Here is a 21,739-nt window from a genome sequence, read left to right as displayed (position 1 = left end):
AAATGTGTGTGTGATCAAGCACCAACAGTCTAATTAGGAAAAAGGTAAATAAATAAAAAGATAAGATAATGTGGCATTAGGAGATATACCTAATGCTAAATGACGAGTTAATGGGTACAGCATACCAGCATGGCACATGTATACATATGTAACAAACCTGCACGTTGTGCACATGTACCCTAAAACTTAAAGTATACTAATAATAAAATTAAAAAAAAAGATAATGTGATAATGTGACCAGCCCAACATAAAAGCATTTGTAATGATGAGAAACACTGAAGAGGCAGTGATGAACCCCCGGTAAGGCAGAAGGGTGCTCAGAGAGGACACCTGAGCTACATTTTTAAAAGATTAATGGGAGCTTCTCAGGCACAGAGAAAACACTATTCTAAAGTAAAACGATAGCATATTCAAAGATTTGAAATCATACCTTTTGGGGATGGGAACCAGTGGTATACTGGAGCTAGCTCTACCTGCTCACAGGAGCCAATTGTTAAATTTTCAGGAATTTGCAAACCACTTGACCTCCTGTAAACTTTAAATTGGCCAAAGTCAGAGTATTTACAATACAGAAATTGGCAAATGCTACAAATCAAGCCTCCTCTCCCAAACTCCTGAGAACTGATTGTTAAACATTTGTAAGCACACCACTGGGGAAACGTAGGAGCCCATTTGTTCTCCTGAAGCATAAAGTGCGAGGAGGAACGTAGATACAAGGTACAAGGGTTCTTCGAAAGCTGCTCTGGAAGGGCTTCCTGTCACAGGTTAAGAAATTTGTTTAATTAGGCATTAAATGATTTCAAGTGGAGGGAAATCAGATTCATATTAGGAGATAATATTTCAAATATTAATTGGCATTCTGTTCCTTTTGTCCCTTGTTATTCGTTCCTCTATTCAGTCAAAGGCAACCAATACTTTGGGAGGAAAAGGATAATATTCGAAGAATGTAAACTAAAAAAAGGGTCAATGTTCAAATACTGACAGAGAGATTTTGGTAATGGTTCCTCTGAATGTGGTTTAAAAAAGGGGAGGGGGAGCAGGTGTAGTGGCTTACGCCTATAATCCCAACACTTTGGGAGGCCAAGGCAGGCAGATCACCTGAGGTCAGGAGTTCGAGACCAGCCTGGCCAACACGATGAAACCTTGTCTCTACTAAAAATACAAAAATTAGCAAGGCATGGTGGTGGTGTGTGCCTGTAGTCCTAGCTACTTGGGAGGCTGAAGCAGGAGAGTTGCTTGAACCTGGGAGGAGGGGGCTATAGTGAGCCGAGACTGCACCACCGCACTCCAGCCTGGGTGACGGGCAAAGTCTCAAAAAAACAAAAAAAGAAGAAGTCTTAAATTGTTTCATTTCTAACTTGGGAAAACACATAAATGGGGGAGCGATCATTTATAGAAGACAGAGTAAAATATGCTCATATTTGGCCATATTGATAGTAAATGTCCATATTTATACCCCCCATTAAGCCATTGAGAGTTAATGTGTTCATAGAGGAAAAGCTAAATCTTCCTCTGGTCCAATATTTTATTTTATTTATTTTTATTTTATTTATTTTTTTGAGACAGGATCTCACTCTGATACTCAGGCTGGGTGCAATAGTGGAATCAGGGCTCATTGCAGCCTCAACCTCCCCAGGCCCAGGTGATCCTCCCACCTCAGTCTCCTGAGTAGCTGGGACTACAGATGCACAACACCACAACTGTCTAATTTTTGTATATTTTGTAGAGACAGGGTTTTGTCATGTTGCCCAGGCTGGTCTTGAGCTCCTGGGTTCAAGCAATCCACCTGACTTGGTCTCCCAAAGTGCCAGGATTGGCCCAGGATCGAGCCCAGCCTCAATATTTTATTTTTTTAAAATCTATTTAGATAATATTAGTCCTTTCAAAATGAAAAGCGCAGTGTCTCATTGTTACTGTTCAATTCAATGTGACAATTTTGGGGCCTGGGATCAAAATCCACTAGACAGAAACTTTCCTGAAAATGTCTCATCTAATACAGAAAGTAATGTCACTGTTGCCAAGTAAAGCAGAGGCTGGGGGAGGGGACAACCTCTTTCTATTGTGCAATACAACAGAAAGCTGTAAGTCGACGAGAAGTTTCCATGTTTTGACTTTTCAGAAATTGTTATAGGCTGAGTTTCATTGCTCTAAAATTAATATGTTGAAGTCATAACCCCTGGGACCTCAGATTGCAAACTTATTTGGAGATAGAGTGACTAAAGAGGTGATTAAAATAAAGCATAGGGTAGGCCTTAATCCAATATGACTGGTGTCCTTATAAGAGATTAGCACACAGGCACATACACAGGAAAGACCATGTGAAGACACAGCGGGAGGGCAGCCATCTACAAGCCAAGGAGAGAGCCTTCAGAAAAAAGCAATGCTGCCCCCACCTTGATCTTGGATATACGGCCTCCAGAAGTGAGTGAATGAATGAATGAATGAATGAATAAAATAAAATAAAATAAAATAAAATAAAAATCTGTTGTTTGACCCAGCAAGTTTGTGGAACTTCTTACGACAGCCCGAGCAAACTAATGCAGAAATGTAAAAGAGTTTTATAACTTGTGTATGTTTTTAGAAAATGAGTTTCAATTTCCAAGATTGATTTCATTTTTCCCTTCATAAAGAAAGCCCCATGCTATTTCATTCTCTGTATACAGCTAAAGTAGTGGTTCCTTTCTTCCCACTTACCAGCTTTCACTCTCTGTTGCTCATCCTTCCCACATTGACTTTTCCTCCTGGACCAGCAGAACAGATAATAAGTCTCCAACAGTAAGAGCATGTGCAGGGAGTTATAGGAATTAATTGAGGCTTTTATATTTTCGAAAAGGGATCCTAATTCTTGTTTTCTTTCCAAGAAATAGCATATGTCCTATTGATTACATATTAACATATTTTTAATGTTATTTTCACTATCCCACTCCTTGGTTAAAACAATAATAATAAAAGGTAACATGTTGAGCTCTGGTCTAATTTGATCAGTAAGATGCCCTTTTCTGGAACAGTAAAAGGAGCATTAGATGGTGAATGAGAAATATCTGGGTCCTGCACTTTGCATCACGATATATTATTACGATCTTAATCTCTTAGCTGCTAAGCTTCATTATCAGCAGAGAGAAACAATAGTAAAATGTGATTTACTCACCCCTTAGATTTGTAGTAACCTTTAGTGTAATTGGAATGACCTTACAAACTAAAATCCACAACAAAAATTTTTGTCCACACACAGAAATGAAAATTGATCCTTTCGTAGAAAATCATGTATCTTCTTAATGAAACAGACCTATTCTGTTGATTTGCCTTTTTAGAAAAGATACTGTGATAATTTGACCCCTGTCACATGTATAGAACATGCTGTCTTTTGTAAATTACTCCCCAAATATTTAAATATAAAGAAAATATTTGAAACAAAAATTACGCTAGTAATTCTTACTTCCCCTGGAAACGTAAGAAAATCTCCCTATTTACAAATATGGGCAGAAGCTCTTATAAAATAAAAATCAGCGGTAAACTACCTCCAATTCATTAGCATTCCATTTACCACTACTTTTATATCATACATCGCACATATAGAAAAATAGAGTAATATAACAAATACTTCCATACCTTTCTAGCAAAACTAACATTTGGTTCAAATTTCCTTACATAATAAAAAAATTACAAATACTGGTGAAATCCCTACTGTTCTATGCAATTCTAGTTTTATTTCTGTCTCCTCAGACATAGCTACTATCCTTAAATTGATTGTATTTCAGATATAAAAACATAATAATTAATAAGTATAAATGTTTTATACTTTCATATGTATAGACCTGTATATACAGATCACATGTAGTATTGCCATATATATTTTTTAAATTTTTATTTTTTTAATTTTTTTATTTTCATAGGTTATTGGAGAACAGTGGTGTTTGGTGACATGAGTAAGTTCTTTTTTCTTTTTTCTTTTTTTACTTTTTTTTGAGACCGACTCTAACTCTGTCACCCAGGCTGGAGTGCAGTGGCACAATCTTGGCTCACTGTAACCTCTGCCTCCCGGGTTTAAGGAATTCTCGTGTCTCAGCCTCCCAAGTAGCTGGGACTACAGGTGCACCACCACACCCGGCTAATTTTTTGTATTTTTATTAGAGCTGGGCTTCACCCTGTTGGCCAGGCTGGTCTCAAATTCCTGACCTCAGGTGATCTGCCCTCTTTGGACTCCTAAAGTTCTTTAGTGGTGATGTGTGAGATTTCGGTGCACCCATCACCCAAGCAGTCTACACTGCACCCAATTTGTAGTTTTTATCCCTGACTCTCTTCCCACCCTTTCCCACTGAGTCCCCAAAATCCTTTGTGTCATTCTTATGCCTTTGCATCCTCATAACTTAGCTCCCACTTATGAGTGAGGACATATGATGTTTGGTTTCCCATTCCTGAGTTACTTGACTTAGAGTAATAGTCTCCAATCTCATCCAGGTCACTGTGAATGCCATTAATTCATTCCTTTTTATGGCTGAGTCATATTTCATCTTATACACACACACGCACATATATATACACATATATACATATATGTGTGTGTATATGTATATATACATATACACACTAGTATATATACATATACATATACACACACATATATGTATATATACATATACACACACATATATGTATATATACATATACACACACATATATATGTATATATACATATACACACACACACACACACACACACACACACCACTTTCTTTATCCACTCATTGATGGATGGGCATTTGGGTTGGTTCTACATTTTGCAATTGCGAATTGTGCTGCTGTAAACATGCATGTGCAACTATATTTTTCGTATAATGACTTATTTTCCTCTGGGTAGTAGGATTGCTGGATCAAATCATAGTTCTACTTTTAGTTCTTTAAGGAATCTCCACACTGTTTTTCATAGTGGTTACACTAGTTTATATTTTCCACCAACAGGGCGGAAGTGTTCCTTGTTCACTGCATCCACAACCACAACTAATTTTTTTTATTTTTTTATTACAGCCATTCTTGTAGGAGTAAGGTGATATCCCATTGTGGTTTTGATTTGCATAATGCTGATCATTAGTGATGTTCAACATTTTTTCAAATGTTTGTTGGCCATTTGTATATCTTCTTTTGAGAATTGTCTATTTATGTCCTTAGCCCACTTTTTGATGGAATTGTTTTTTCTTGTTGGTTTGAGTTCATTGTAGAATCTGGATATTAGTACTTTGTCACATGTATAGATTGTGAAGATTTTTTCCTACTCTGTGGGTTGTCTGTTTATTTTGCTGATGGTTCCTATTGCCATGCAAAAGCTCTTTGGTTTAATTAAGTCCCAGCTATTTTTTTTTTTTTTTATTGCATTTGCTTTTGGGCTCTTGGTCATGAAACCCTTGCCTAAGCCAATGTCTAGAAGGGTTTTTCCAATGTTATCTTCCAGAATTTTTAAAGTTTCATGCCTTAGATTTAAGTCCTTAATCCATCTTAAGTTGATTTTTGTATAAGGTGAGAGATGAGGATCCAGTTTCTTTCTCCTATGTGTGGCTAGCCAATTATCCCAGTACCATTTGTTTAAAAGGGAGTTCTTTCCTCATTTTATGTTTTTGTTTGCTTTGTTGAAGGTAAGTTGGCTGTAAGTATTTGGGTTTATTTCTGGGTTCTCTATTCTGTTCCATTGGTCTATGCACCTTTTTTTAAATTTAATTTTATTTTTTTTTTATTTTTTTGAGACAGAGTCTTGCTCTGTCACCCAGGCTGGAGTGCAGTGGTGCAATCTCAGCTTACTGCAACCTCCACCTCCTGGGTTCAAGCAATTCTCCTGCCTCAGCCTCCCAAGTAGCTAGGACTATAGGCACAAACCACTATTCCTGGCTACTTTTTTGTATTTTAGTAGAGACAGGGTTTCACTGTGTTGCCCAGGCTGGTATCGAACTCCTGAACTCAGGCAATCCACCTGCCTCAGCCTCCCAAAGTGCTAGGATTACAAGCGTGAGCCACCATGCCTGGCCTGTGTACCTATTTTATACCAGTACCATGCTGTTTTGGTGACTATGGCCTTATAATATAGTTTGAAATCAGGTAATGTGATGACTCCAGATTTGTCCTTTTTGCTTAGTCTTGCTTTGGCTATGCAGGCTCTCTTTTGGTTCCATATGAATTTTAGAATTGTTTTTTCTAATTTGGTGAAGAAAAATGGTAGTATATTTTATAGGAATTGCACTGAATTTGTAGATTGCTTTTGGCAGTATGGTCATTTTCCCGATATAGATTCTACCCATCCATAAGCATGGGATGTGTTTCCATTTGTTTGTGTCATCTATGATTTCTTTCAGCAGTGTTTTGTAGTTTTCCTTGTAGAGGTCTTTCACTTCCTTGGTTAGTTTTATTTTGTTTTGTTTTGTTTTTGCAGCTATTGTAAAAGGAGTTCAGTTCTTGATTTGATTCTCAGCTTGGTCGCTGTTGGTATATAGAAGAGCTACTGATATATGTACATTAATTTTGTATCCAGAAACTTTGCTGAATTATTTTATAAGTTCTGGGAGCTTTCTGCAGGAGGCTTTAGGTAAACGATCATGTCATCGGCAAATAGCGACAGGCTGGCTTCCTCTTTTCTGATTTGTATGCCTTGAGTTCTTTTGTCTGATTGCTCTGGCTAGGACTTCCAGTACTATGTGAAGAGGAGTGGTGAGAGTGTAATTAATAAGTATAAATGTTTTATGCTTTAACTAAGATGTATATACCTGTATTTACAGATAGCACATACTATTGCCATATATTTTTTTTTAATTTTTACTTAAATATTTTTGTTATACATATTGCTCTGGAAAAGATCTTCCTCATGTAGTATTGTGATTTCTAGATCTACCCATGTTGACCATGCAGATAGAATTCATTCATTTTCATTATTGAGTAATATCCCAGGATATGAATACATGGCAATTTATGTATTCATTTCCCAATTAGTGGGACCTTTGGTTGTGCTCAATTTCTTGCAAATCCACAGGATGATGTATTGAACCTCCTTGTACATATCTCTATGTGTTACACATGTAAAAGAGATTTCCCCTAGGAGTATTGCCTAGAGTTAGGTCATAAATATTTATATAAGCAGATACATAAAGTATTGTCAAATTTTTTCTTTTCAACATGCTCCCAATTCTTGGTATCATCAGGCTTATTTTTGTTGAGGAAACTCATTTGTTTTCCAGGTTACCATGAGCTTTATGTTCCTCTCACATCATTAATGACTCTTCATACTTCCTGTTCTGCAAATTGGTCCATACTGTTTGACCATTGTCGTAGAGTGAACAATGGCCCTCCAAAAATGTCCACACCTAATAATTGGAATCAATGAATGTGCCACCATACATGGCAAAATAAACTTTGTAGAGGTGATTAAGTTAAGAATATTGTGAAGGGGAAATGATTCTGGAGTACCCAGTGGACCCAATGCATCACAGCATCTTTATAAGAGGGAGTCAGAAAAGTCAAAGTCAGAGAAGGAGACAGAAGCAGGAGTTGGAGGGATACGAGTTAGGAACCAAGGGGTGTGGGCAGATAGAAAATGGTTTTGCCCCTATAGCTACAAGATTTTTTTTTTTAACTTTTAGACTTTTTTTGGTGGTGGGGGTGGTGGGGTCTTGCTCTGTTGCCCAGGCTAGGGTGCAATGGCGTGATCTTGGCTCATTGCAACTTCTGCCTCCTGGGTTCAAGTGATTCTCCTGCCTCAGCCTCCCAAACAGCTGGGATTACAGGCGTGCACCATCACGCCCAGCTAATTTTTGTATTCTCAGTAGAGAAGGGGTTTGCCAGGCTGGTCTTGAACTCCTGACCTCAGGTGACCCACTCACCTTGGCCTCCCAAAGTGCTGGGATTACAGGCATAAGCCACCGCACCCAGCCAACTTTTAGACTTCTAACGTGTATTTTTTTCCTACTGAGTTTAAGTACACACACGCACACAGACTTATATGTACATAGATGTTGACAACAGACATACAGAAACATATGCATAGATTCTGAAGAGTAGTCTGTTGGTGGTTTTATATAATACAAATATATTTTCCTATAATTTGATTTTTAATTTTGTTATGGTGTTTGTAATACAGTTTTTAAATTTCTTGATTTATCCTTCCCCTCATAGTTTGTGGTTTTTATGCCACACTTGAGATTTTTTCCTCAATCCCAATGCTATAAATCTATGCTCGCATATTTTTTCATTTAGAAAATTTTACACTTTACCATTTCATATTTAGGTCATCAATTCATTTTCATGTATGGTGTTTTACAGGTCCTCCTTTTATGGAACCATCACCCATCAGATATTTAACCTATATAACTTTTTCTTTTATTTTTGCTCTATTTTCTGTGTTTTCTTTCTTTCCAAGTAATTTACCCTAAATTAGTCTCCAACTTTTTATTAATTTTTAACTTATTTTGCAATTAGATTTTTAATGTTCATTTCTTAATTATTCCTTTTAAATATTATCTTGTTCTCATAACTGCAATATTTCATCTTACATAATTGACAATAATAAAATATTTTTATTTTATTTCTCTCTGTACATTATCTCATTTTATTCTTAGTTCCTGATTTCTATTTATTTTGTCCTCACTGTTTCACATTGGACTTAGCTTACATTTTTGGTGATCCTTTGCTATTAGGGATTAGAATGTGGCACCACAAACACAAATTGGAAGCTCTTTGATTATAGGTGACTCTTATCCAATACTAATCATTACTATTGGCTGATTATGCAAGGACCAGGGCGTTTTATTTGTGTTCCACAAATGCCAGTATCCATAAGTCTTTACTTTTTAGCTTGCCTTTTTCTCAGGATAGGAATCCCCTATCTCTTGCTTCATGTGTATAAACCTGGATGGTGCTTTTATGACAGCTCACTAGAGAAAGGGAGCACTGTCAGGGTTCTCTCACAAACTATATAGACTTTTACTTTTACCCTGCATTTTCACAGTATGATCTTTTATACTAACACTATCTTCTCTAGGTAAGGGGGTAATTTTTAGGACCATTGAACACATTTGTCTTTAGTTTCTTACAACTTATAATTCCTAAGGCTTCCAATAATCTTGTATTTGTCAGAATAAAATAGGCTATACTGTGGTAACAAATAAACCTGGAAATCTGAATATTTGTTAAAATAAGTGTTTATTTTCTTTTCACATAAAGTTTGATGCAGGTTGTTCAACTCTTCCAGAGGACAATGTTCTAAGTGAAGACTTAGAATCCAGGTTGTGTCCACCTTATAGATTCACCATCTAGAATATGTGGCTTTCAAGTTCACCCTTAAAAAGGAAAGAGATAGCAGGAGGGTAGCCCAAGGTGATTTATGACTTTGGCTTAGAAGTGGCTTAGGTTGCTCCTGCCTACAAGTCATTGGTCAGATCTCAGCCAAATGGCTCAAATATACTGCAAAGAAGACAGTGAAATATCTTCCTATGTGCCATGGAAGAGGTAAAATGTCATAAATACATAGATTTGTGCCCAACGCAGCTATGCCCTGTAAATTGATTTGCTTCTTCAACATCTTCCAACTGAAGAAGAGCTTTCTACTTTCTCCACTCAGCTAGGTGAATTACCACTCATCGCTTTACTTTTTAGCTCCCAAAATTTGTTGAACTTTCTTCCCAACTGTCACGTCCTTTATTATATTTTTTCTTGAGAGTTTATGCCTCTTTTATTATTTCACTGTCATGTAAGTAGATTTCCCCAATACAGCAGACATAGCTGTGTTCATTTTATCATGTTCAACCAGAAATCTAAAAAGTTATGTGACACAAAGCTTTGCTACAACCATGTAATAATCCAATTTATAAATAAACATATTCCTAGAGAGCTAATCTACCCTGAATATGGAAAAAATACTGATTAGAAGTAACTAATAACATAAGAGTAAAGTCCCTAATTGTGAAGGTATTTGAATTTCTACTAATTTTGTTCTAAATTATGTAATATTTGTTTATAGAACATAATACTTCCAAAATACACTTTACAGTTAAAAAGTACTTTTATAAAAGTGAAATTGCAACTAAGTACTTTAGAAACTCTTAATCATACAGTGGGCCATTCGAAATCATGCTTATTCCAATTATTTAACAAAAACAGTGCTATCCATATGGCAGCAGCTTGCCCAAATTATAGCATAATTACAAGGGAACAGTTGCTTCTATAGCTTACAGATTCTAACTCAGCGAACGTTTGCAACATCACATCATGAAAATAACACCAAGGAATAAAATGTGAATGGAAAAATGAAGAGAAATGAACCAGAACTGAGATAGATTCAAAAGAGAATCTATCTGGGAAATCAGAATGTATGCTATTACTTTTAATGATTTTGACTCTAAACTGGTAGCATTTTTCTGCCACTAGGCAAACTAATAGAAACATATAAAAAATTAGAACAACTTGAAGAAAAAAACCTGCATATACCAAGGTTTATGTTACAACCCTGACTGCTATAGGAACTAGACCAAAAAGTGAGCATTGCCACCTTCTGCAATGTGAAATTTAACAAAGGTATTTGAATAAGAGTTTTAAAAATATGACGGAGAAGGCAATTTTGAAAATATTAAAAGTGATTTTTAAACTACCAAAAAATAAATATAAAGGATCACTGAGAAGTTTAGCTGGAAGAGTATTTGAGTTTCCTTTTCTTCATAACTCCTTTCTTAGCCAGATTAAGCTGAGGTAACTTAGGTGTTATTTGATAAAAATGATGTTTACCTAAGTTTAGTGTTTACAACTAATGGGAGACGCTGCTTGAGTTACATAGCCTTTCTCTTTAAAATTCTCAATAAAATAAACCTGCACTGTTAAAATGCCTCTTAATTTCTTATCTTGATTTACATGATTTTAAACTTTTCAAAAGGTAATAAACCTAACATCATGCAGTTAAGCTAAAATAGCAGGATGAAATTATGTTTTAAATATGCCATTCAGTTGCTTCTGTGGAATAAAGAGATTGTTCTACAGATATAGAGATAAGCACACAGACATACTGAGATATTAAATTCCTGAGGAGTATCCTTGAGTGTGATGTTATATCAAAATGAAATGTTTTTAGTATTATGATCAATTTCTGTCACTGGAAAACATTATTCAACAGAGATTTAAAATGCAGTACCACTCTCAGAATAAAACAGACTTTATCTTCTCCAAATTTCTTAGACAGAGTACTAAGAATGATATGTAGGTACATAGTTGTGGATGTGTGTACAACCGGTTAGAGATATAAGCAATATCAGCAATCATCTGAAGGTCTTGGCCATTACCTTCATTTTATAGAGATGAAAATGGAAACCCAAAAATATAAGTAATTTCCTAATGGCTGCATGGCAAAATTGTAGAATGGCCAAAACTAAAATTAATTTCCCCTGCCTTTTAGACCGAAATTATGTTTAAAGTTAAAATATTTGAGAGCTCTTGTTGTTATAGATTCAAATTTTTAAAACCAATCAAGTTGCACTGAAAAGAAAAACCTATCTTGACTTCCAGGTGTGCAAAACAACAGCAGTAGCCTGAGTTTGATATTCCCCTCTCAGCACTACTACAAAAGAAAATCAACAAGCAGAGCAAACCAAACCACACATTACCTTTGCATTCTCCATTACTAGAGACAGAACATGAACACACACACATATACACACTTTCAAATTAGATGTAAGTAGAAAAATATCTGACAGATTACCCAGTATGAATGTCACCCAGTGCGTGTGGAACGTAGAGGAAGAGAATCCTAAAAGATTCCATGAAAAAAATTGCAGAGGAGTAAAAGACTTAGATGAAACACAGACAAAATCATTTTCAGAAAAAGAAAGTTCAACGATGCCTTCAAAATACAGAAAACAGTTCGGAACTTGGCAGTTCAGAACCCAGATACAGACTTCAAAATGTAAGAGACTGGAAGTGGCAGTCATGGATAATCATATATAGACGGAATAGCTGGTAGACCTTAGAGATAATGCAGTAAAGAGGGAGAAGAAATTAGAGGAGGGAAATTAGGAATCCTGCAGAAACAAAGACAGAACAAGATACCGCCCTTTTCCTATCACCACTACCAGCAACAACATCCATAAATCAAACCTCACAAAAGAGGGCAGAAACAACAAAAGAGGATGCTTTGGAAATAGAAACCTTATTCATGAAATAAATAGACATTGAAATAAAACAGACTACCTTCAGGTAAAACTGCAATAAAAGCCAGAAAATGTGAAAATGTTTCTACTAACAAAGTCTCCTCCAAATAACCAAGAACAAAGCTGAAAAGAAAAACCCTGTAACATAAAATATCACACAGCAGTAAATACCCTCAAAATCTTTGAAGATATGACTAAAACATACACCTTGAATCAGAAATAGAATATTAAGACCAGAATGGACAAATAGAGAAATAATAAAATGAATTGACTGAACTCAGAAAGACAATAAAAGCAAAAAAATTTTCAAAATTGAATTATGAATAACAAGATGTCCAAGAAAGGAAATACTCAAATGATGACATACAAGATTCAGTGAAAACATTAAAGGAAAGTACCAAAAATACAGATAAATAAGATGAGATAAAGATAGAAGTAGATTAGAGAAAGTAAATGAAATGGAAAATAGTCCAACATACCTATATTTTATATGAAGAAAATTAAAACATCTGACCAAAATAATGTTTAAAATTCTAGTAACCCCTCAAATTCCCCCAAAATAAAGAAAGCTTGAATCTATACATTGAAACGAACTACTATATCCCCTGAAAATCTAATCCAGATCAATCGACCCTGGGACATATACTAGTAAAACGATTAAACTTTAAAATAAAGACATTCTCAAGTTCTCAGGAAAATAGACAATTTTAAAATGCAAAAAATAAAAAAATTAAAACTGGCAACAAACTTCTCAAAACAGTATACAAATCAAGGCTGCAACAGAGTAACATTTTCAAGAATAGTAAATAGAATAATATATCTGGCTAAACTGTTCTTCAAACAGATTTGAATCTCCCCAACTCAGAAAACACTGTATATTGTGATTTTCCTCAAGAATTTGCTGGAAACTAAGCTTCATTCAACCAAAAAATAACTTGGAAATCTTTGGCAAAATGACTGAAACTTCTCAAATATACAATTGTAAAGCAAATATTACAATGAGAATGGGGTCAGGACTAGAAGAATAACGTAAATATTTCATGCTATGAAAAAGTAGAATAGATTCTATTTATAGAACAGACCTAAAACATGGAAGAAGAAGAAGAAGAGAGAGAAAATGTAAAAAAGTGGAATAAAATTATAGGTACCAGGTGGAAATAATTTAAAACTGACATAACAAACAGCACTAAATTAGGCCAGAAAAGGTGAGGAAATTAAGGGCACTACACAAAGTTAAATACAAAGGTAACTTCTAAAATAAAAATGCAAGTATTCCTAACTACCAAAACATATTGGTCAGATGCAGTGGCTCACACCTGTAATCCCAGCATTTTGGGAGGCCAAGGCAAGCAAATGACTTGAGATCAGGAGTTTGAGACCAGCCTGGCCAACATGGTGAAACCCTGTCTCTATTTAAAAAAAAAAAAAAAAAAAAAAAAACAGCTGGGCATGGTGGTACATGCCTATAATCGCAGCTGCTTGGGAGTCTTGAGGCACAAGGATTGCTTGAATCCAGGAGGCAGAGGTTGCAGTGAGCTAAGATTGTACCACTGCACCCCAGCCTGGGTGATGAAGTGAGACTCTGTCTCAAAATACAATACAATACAATTATATATATATACACACACACACACACACATATATTTACATATATTTAAAAAGCCAAGACTAGGCACAGTGGCTCACGCCTGTAATCCCAGCATTTGGGGAGGCTGAAGCAGGTGGATCACCTGAGGTCAGCAGTTTGAGACCAGCCTGGCCAACATGGTGAAACGTCTTCTCTACTAAAAATACAAAAAAATTAGCAGAGAGTGGTGGTGCGTGCCTGTAATTCCAGCAACTCAGGAGGCTGAGGTAAGAGAATCGCCTGAATCCGGGAGATGGAGGTTGCAGTGAGCTGAGAACACGCCACTGCACTCCAACCTGGGTGACAGAGTGAGACTCCATCCCAGAACACAAACAAACAAACAAAAAAACAAAATAGCCAAATGTATCCACCAAATAAAGGAAGCAATTAATACATGTAAAATTAAACACACCGTAAATACAATGTAAGCTACTATGAAGAGGCCAAAGATAATTGTCATATCAATAAAAGTAAATAAGGTTAATTCATTTATTAAGAGAAATTCAGTGTTTACACTGACACATAAAGGTAAACCCACCTCTGTGTTCATGCAGAATATAAAAGACACACATATCGTAGTGGTTTCAAAAGGCTAAAAATAAAGGGATGGATAAAGACAGCCAAATTAAAACAAGAAGAATGCATGTTGTACAATCCTAATATCTGACAAATTAAAATTCAAGACAAAAAGCATTAGAAGAGACAAATAAAAACACTTTAGAATGTAAAGTTAACATTTCACTATGAAGAAATAGAAGTTTTGAATATCTATGCACCATATAACAGCAACTATGTGTAGAAAAATACAGAAGATGCTGGAAAAATAGAAAGAAACATACTAATAACAGTATAACTTAACTATTTTTGGTACAAAATAGGCCAACTGAAGAAAAATAGTAAAGATTATAAAAAAACTAAAAAATATAATCAATTAAGTACATATATATTTAATAAATCACATCGATAATAGAGAATATATCTTCTTCCAAATGTACATAGAAAATTTGCAATTACAGATTTATTTTTTTGAGATGGATTCTCACTATGTTGCCCAGGCTGGTCTCAAACTCTTGAGCTCAAGTCATCTTCCTATCTCAGCCATCCTAGGATCAGAGGTGTGCCCCACTGCACCCAGTTGAACATTCACAAATATAAATTATAGATTCTAACACAAAGAAAACATCAGTAGATTCTCAAAAAATAGAAATATCACAAACAACACTCTACTTACAATGCAATAAAACCAGAATTTAAAAATGAAAACAAACAAAATATGGCCTTTCTATCTGGAAATTAAAATAGCTTACATTTAACAAACCTTGAGTAAAAGGAGCAATACAAACAAGAAAACTATAGAATTTTTGGGAAAAAAAAGTATGATAATAAAACACTATAAGAATCTACGGGATCCATTTCAAATAGTTATCAGGGGAAAATTAATAGTCCTAAACACATATGTCAGGCACACGAAAATAAATGAATTAAATTTCTTATTCAGACAGTTGGAAAATGAAAAAAATATATACATACATAAAGAAAGCATGAAAAACTAAATAATAAAGACAAATGCAGAAATTAATGAGGTAAAGAATATAAAAATAGTAGACAAAATTAACAAACCATAATCCTGCTAAAAAATTAAACCAAACAGGCAAATTACTATTTTAAATAATAGCTGAGGAGAGAAACACATAGATATAAAAAGAAAAAATGGTGTGGGTTAGAACTCTTAATAAAGGATATGCATCTATGCAAATGAATTTGAAAATTTAGAGGAACTGGGTGCATATTAAAACACATGTCAAGCAAAAACTCTACTATGATATCATTTCTTACATATGGCAAAAATTCAAAAACTTAACAAAAAAGAGTCCACATTGCCAAGTCAATCCTAAGCCAAAAGAACAAAGCTGGAGGCATCACGCTATCTGACTTCAAACTACACTACAAGGCTACAGTAAGCAAAACAGCATGGAACTGGTACCAAAACAGAGATATAGATCAATGGAACAGAACAGAGCCCTCAGAAATAATGCCGCATATCTACAACTATCTGATCTTTGACAAACCTGACAAAAACAAGAAATGGGGAAATGATTCCCTATTTAATAAATGGTGCTGGGAAAACTGGCTAGCCAAATGTAGAAAGCTGAAACTGGATCCCTTCCTTACATCTTATACAAAAATTAATTCAAGATGGATTAAAGACTTAAATGTTACACCTGAAACCATAAAAACCCTAGAAGAAAACCTAGGCAATACCATTCAGGACATAGGCATGGACAAGGACTTCATGTCTAAAACACCAAAAGCAATGGCAACAAAAGCCAACATTGACAAATGGGATCTAATTAAACAGAAGAGCTTCTGCACAGCAAAAGAAACTACCATCAGAGTGAACAGGCAACCTATGGAATGGGAGAAAATTTTTGCAACCTACTCATCTGACAAAGGGCTAATATACAGAATCTACAATGAACTCAAACAAATTTACAAGAAAAAAACAAACAACCCCATCAAAAAGTGGGCGAAGGATATGAACAGACACTTCTCAAAAGAAGACATTTATGCAGCAAAAGACACATGAAAAAATGCTCATCATCACTGGCCATCAGAGAAATGCAAATCAAAACCACAATGAGATACCATCTCACACCAGTTAGAATGGTGATCATTAAAAAGTCAGGAAACAACAGGTGCTGGAGAGGATGTGGAGAAATAGGAACACTCTTACACTGTTGGTGAGAATGTAAACTAGTTCAACCATTGTGGAAGTCAGTGTGGCGATTCCTCAGGGATCTAGAGTTAGAAATCCTGTTTGACCCAGCCATCCCATTACTGGGTATATATCCAAAGGATTATAAAACATGCTGCTATAAAGACACATGCACAAGTATGTTTATTGCGGCACTATTCACAATAGCAAAGACATGGAACCAACCCAAATGTCCAACAATGATAGACTGGATTAAGAAAAGATGGCACATATACTCCATGGAATACTATGCAGCCATAAAAATGATGAGTTCATGTCCTTTGTAGGGACATGGATGAAGCTGGAAACCATCATTCTCAGCAAACTATCTCAAGGACAAAAAAACCAAACACTGCATGTTCTCACTCATAGGTGGGAGTTGAACAATGACAACACATGGAAACAGGAAGAGGAACATCACACACTGGGGCCTGTTGTGGGGTGGGGGGAGGGGGGAGGGATAGCATTAGGAGATATACCTAATGTTAAATGACAAGTTAATGGGTGTAGCACACCAACATGGCACATGTATACATATGTAACTAATATGCACATTGTGCACATGTACCCTAAAACTTAAACTATAATAAAAAAAGATTAAAAAAAAACAAATAAACAATATACTGTATCTGTAAATTTGCAGTGGGAATGTGAGGATGGTACCACCACTATAAAAGAGAATTTGGGAGGGGAGGAGCCAAGATGGCCGAATAGGAACAGCTCCGGTCTACAGCTCCCAGCGTGAGTGACGCAGAAGATGGGTGATTTCTGCATTTCCAACTGAGGTACCGGGTTCATCTCACTGGGCAGTGCCAGACAGTAGGCCCAGGACGGTGGGTGCAGCGCACTGTGCGCCAGCCGAAACAGGGCGAGACATCGCCTCACCCGGGAAGCACAAGGGGTCAGGGAATTCCCTTTCCTAGTCAAAGAAAGGGGTGACAGATGGCACCTGGAAAATTGGTTCACTCCCACCCTAATACTGTGCTTTTCCAATGGGCCTAAAAAACGGCACACCAGGAGATTATATCCCTCACATGGCTCGGAGGGTCCTACACCAACAGAGTCTCGCTTATTGCTAGAACAGCAGTCCCAGACCAAACTGCAAGGCGGCAGCGAGGCTGGGGGAGGGGCGCCCGCCATTGTCGAATTAGTTTGATTAGGTAAACAAAGCGGCCAGGAAGCTCGAACTGGGTGGAGCCCACCACAGCTCAAGGAGGCCTGCCTGCCTCTGTAGGCTCCACCTCTGGAGGCAGGGCACAGACAAACAAAAAGACAGCAGTAACCTCTGCAGACTTAAATGTCCCTCTCTGACAGCTTTGAAGAGAGCAGTGGTTCTCCCAGCATGCAGCTTGAGATCTGAGAACGGGCAGACTGCCTCCTCAAGTGGGTCCCTGACCCCCGAGTAGCCTAACTGGGAGGCACCCCCCAGTAGGGGCAGACAGACACCTTACACGGCCGGGTACTCCTCTGAGACAAAACTTCCAGAGGAACAATCAGGCAGCAGCATTTGCGGTTCACCAAAATCCACTGTTCAGCAGCCACCGCTGCTGATACCCAGGCAAACAGTGTCTGGAGTGGACCTCCAGCAAACTCCAACAGACCTGCAGCTGAGGGTCCTGTCTGTTTGAAGGAAAACTAACACACAGAAAGGACATCCACACCAAAAACCCATCTGTATGTCACCATCATCAAAGACCAAAGGTAGATAAAACCACAAAGATGGGAAAAACACAGAGCAGAAAAACTGGAAACTCTAAAAATCAGAGCGCCTCTCCTGCTCCAAAGGAACGCAGCTCCTCACCACCAACAGAACAAAGCTGGACGGAGAATGACTTTAACGAGTTGAGAGAAGAAGGCTTCAGATGATCAAACTACTCCGAGCTACAGGAGGAAATTCGAACCAATGGGAAAGAAGTTAAAAGCTTTGAAAAAAAATTAGATGAATGGATAACTAGAATAACCAATGCAGAGAAGTCCTTAAAGGACCTGATGGAGCTGAAAACCAAGGCACGAGAGCTACATGATGAATGCAGAAGCCTCAGTAGCTGATGCGATCAACTGGAAGAAAGAGTACCAGCGATGGAAGACAAAATGAATGAAATGAAGTGAGAAGAGAAGTTTAGAGAAAAAAGAATAAAAAGAAATGAACAAAGCCTCCAAGAAATATGGGACTATGTGAAAAGACCAAATCTACATTTGACTGGTGTACCTGAAAGTGATGGGGAGAATGGAACCAAGTTGGAAAATACTCTGCAGGATATTATCTAGGAGACTTTCCCCAATCTGGCACAGCAGGCCAACATTCAAATCCAGGAAATACACAGAACGCCACAAAGATACTCCTTGAGAAGAGCAACTCCAAGACACATAATTGTCAGATTCACCAAAGTTGAAATGAAGGAAAAAATGTTAAGAGCAGCCAGAGAGAAAGGTCGGGTTACTCACAAAGGGAAGCCCATCAGCCTAACAGCTGATATCTCGGCAGAAACTCCACAAGCCAGAAGAGAGTGGGGGCCAATATTTAACATTCTTAAAGAAAAGAATTTTCAACCCAGAATTTCATATCCAGCCAAACCAAGCTTCATAACTGAAGGAGAAATAAAATCCTTTACAGACAAGCAAATGCTGAGAGATTTTGTCACCACCAGGCCTGCCCTAAAAGAGCTCCTGAAGGAAGCACTAAACATGGAAAGGAACAACCGGAACCAGCCACTGCAAAAACATGCCAAATTGTAAAGACCGTCAAGGCTAGGAAGAAACTGCATCAACCAACGAGCAAAATAACCAGCTAACATCATAATGACAGGATCAAATTCACACATAACAATATTAACTTTAAATGTAAATGGGCTAAACGCTCCAATTAAAAGACACAGACTGGCAAATTGGATAAAGAGTCAAGACCCATCAGTGTGCTCTATTCAGGAAACCCATCTCACATGCAGGGACACACATGGGCTCAAAATAAAGGGATGGAGGAAGATCTACCAAGCAAATGGAAAACAAAAAAAGGCAGGGGTTGCAATCCTAGTCTCGGATAAAACAGACTTTAAACCAACAAAGATCAAAAGAGACAAAGAAGGCCATTACATAATGGTAAAGGGATTAATTCAACAAGAAGAGCTAACTATCCTAAATATATATGCACCCAATACAGGAGCACCCAGATTCATAAAGCAAGTCCTTAGTGACCTACAAAGAGACTTAGACTCCCACACATTAATAATGGGAGACTTTAACACCCCACTGTCAACATTAGACAGATCAACGAGACAGAAAGTTAACAAGGATATCCAGGAATTGAACTCAGCTCTGTACCAAGCGGACCTAATAGACATTTACAAAACTCTCCACCCCAAATCAACAGAATGTACATTCTTTTCAGCACCACACTACACCTACTCCAAAATTGACCACATAGTTGGAAGTAAAGCACTCCTCAGCAAATGTAAAAGAACAGAAATTATAACAAACTGTCTCTCAGACCACAGTGCAATCAAACTAGAACTCAGGATTAAGAAATTCACTCAAAACCGCTCAACTACATGGAAACTGAACAACCTGCTCCTGAATGACTACTGGGTAAATAACGAACTGAAGGCAGAAATAAAGATGTTCTTTGAAACCAATGAGAACAAAGACACAACATACCAGAATCTCTGGGACACATTCAAAGCAGTGTGTAGAGGGAAATTTATAGCACTAAATGCCCACAAGAGAAAGCAGGAAAGATCTAAAATTGACACCCTAACATCACAATTAAAAGAACTAGAGAAGCAAGAGCAAACAGATTCAAAAGCTAGCAGAAGGCAAGAAATAACTAACATCAGAGCAGAACTGAAGGAGATAGAGACACAAAAAACCCTTCCAAAAATCAATGAATCCAGGAGCTGTTTTTTTGAACGATCAACAAAATTGATAGACCGCTAGCAAGACTAAGAAGAAAAGAGAGAAGAATCAAATAGATGCAATGGATATCACCACTGATCCCACAGAAATACAAACTACCATCAGAGAATACTATAAACACCTCTACACAAATAAACTAGAAAATCTAGAAGAAATGGATAAATTCCTCGACACATACATCCTCCCAAGACTAAACCAGGAAGAAGCTGAATCTCTGAATAGAACAATAACAGGCTCTGAAATTGAGGCAATAATTAATAGCTTGCCAACCAAAAAAAGTCCAGGACCAGATGGATTCACAGCCGAATTCTACCAGAGGTACAAAGAGGAACTGGTACCATTCCTTCTGAAACTATTCCAATCAATAGAAAAAGAGGGAATCCTCCCTAACTCATTTTATGAGGCCAGCATCATCCTGATACCAAAGCATGGCAGAGACACAACAAAAAAAGAGAATTTTAGACCAATATCCTTGATGAACATTGATGCAAAAATCCTCAATAAAATACTGGCAAACTGAATCCAGCAGCACATCAAAAAGTTCATCTACCATGATCAAGTAGGCTTCATCCCTGGGATGCAAGGCTGGTTCAACATACGTAAATCAATAAATGTTATCCAGCATATAAACAGAACCAAAGACAAAAACCACATGGTTATCTCAATAGATGCAGAAAAGGCCTTTGACAAAATTCAACAACGCTTCATGCTAAAAACTCTCAATAAATTAGGTATTGATGGGGCATATCTCAAAATAATAAGAGCTATCTATGAGAAACCCACAGCCAATATCATACTGAATGGGCAAAAACTGGAAGCATTCCCTTTGAAAACGGGCACAAGACAGGGACGCCCCCTCTCACCACTCCTATTCAACACAGTGTTGGAAGTTCTGGCCAGGGCAATTAGGCAGGAGAAGGAAATAAAGGGTATTCAATTAGGAAAAGAGGAAGTCAAATTGTCCCTATTTGCAGATGACATGATTGTATATCTAGAAAACCCCATCATCTCAGCCCAAAATCTCCTTAAGCTGATAAGCAACTTCAGCAAAGTCTCAGGATACAAAATCAATGTACAAAAATCACAAGCATTCTTATACACCAATAACAGACAGAGAGCCAAATCATGAGTAAACTCCCATTCACAACTGCTTCAAAGAGAATAAAATACCTAGGAATCCAACTTACAAGGGATGTGAAGGACCTCTTCAAGGAGAACTACAAACCACTGCTCAACGAAATAAAAGAGGATACAAAGAAACGGAAGAACAATGCATGCTCATGG

The 21,739-nt window shown here is 37.1% G+C and overlaps 1 protein-coding gene across 2 annotated transcripts in view; it reads right to left on the bottom strand.

Moving 5' to 3' along the window:
* THSD7B (thrombospondin type 1 domain containing 7B) overlaps positions 1-21,739 on the bottom strand; it is a 912,174-nt gene that overhangs the window by 583,747 nt on the left and 306,688 nt on the right. The gene's annotated exons all lie outside the window — the stretch shown is intronic.

Source organism: Homo sapiens, chromosome 2 (genome assembly GCF_000001405.40).
Source record: "Homo sapiens chromosome 2, GRCh38.p14 Primary Assembly".
Taxonomy (NCBI): Eukaryota; Metazoa; Chordata; class Mammalia; order Primates; family Hominidae; genus Homo; species Homo sapiens.
Note: the sequence above shows the minus strand (reverse complement) of the source record. Positions and strands in the feature narration are given on the sequence as shown.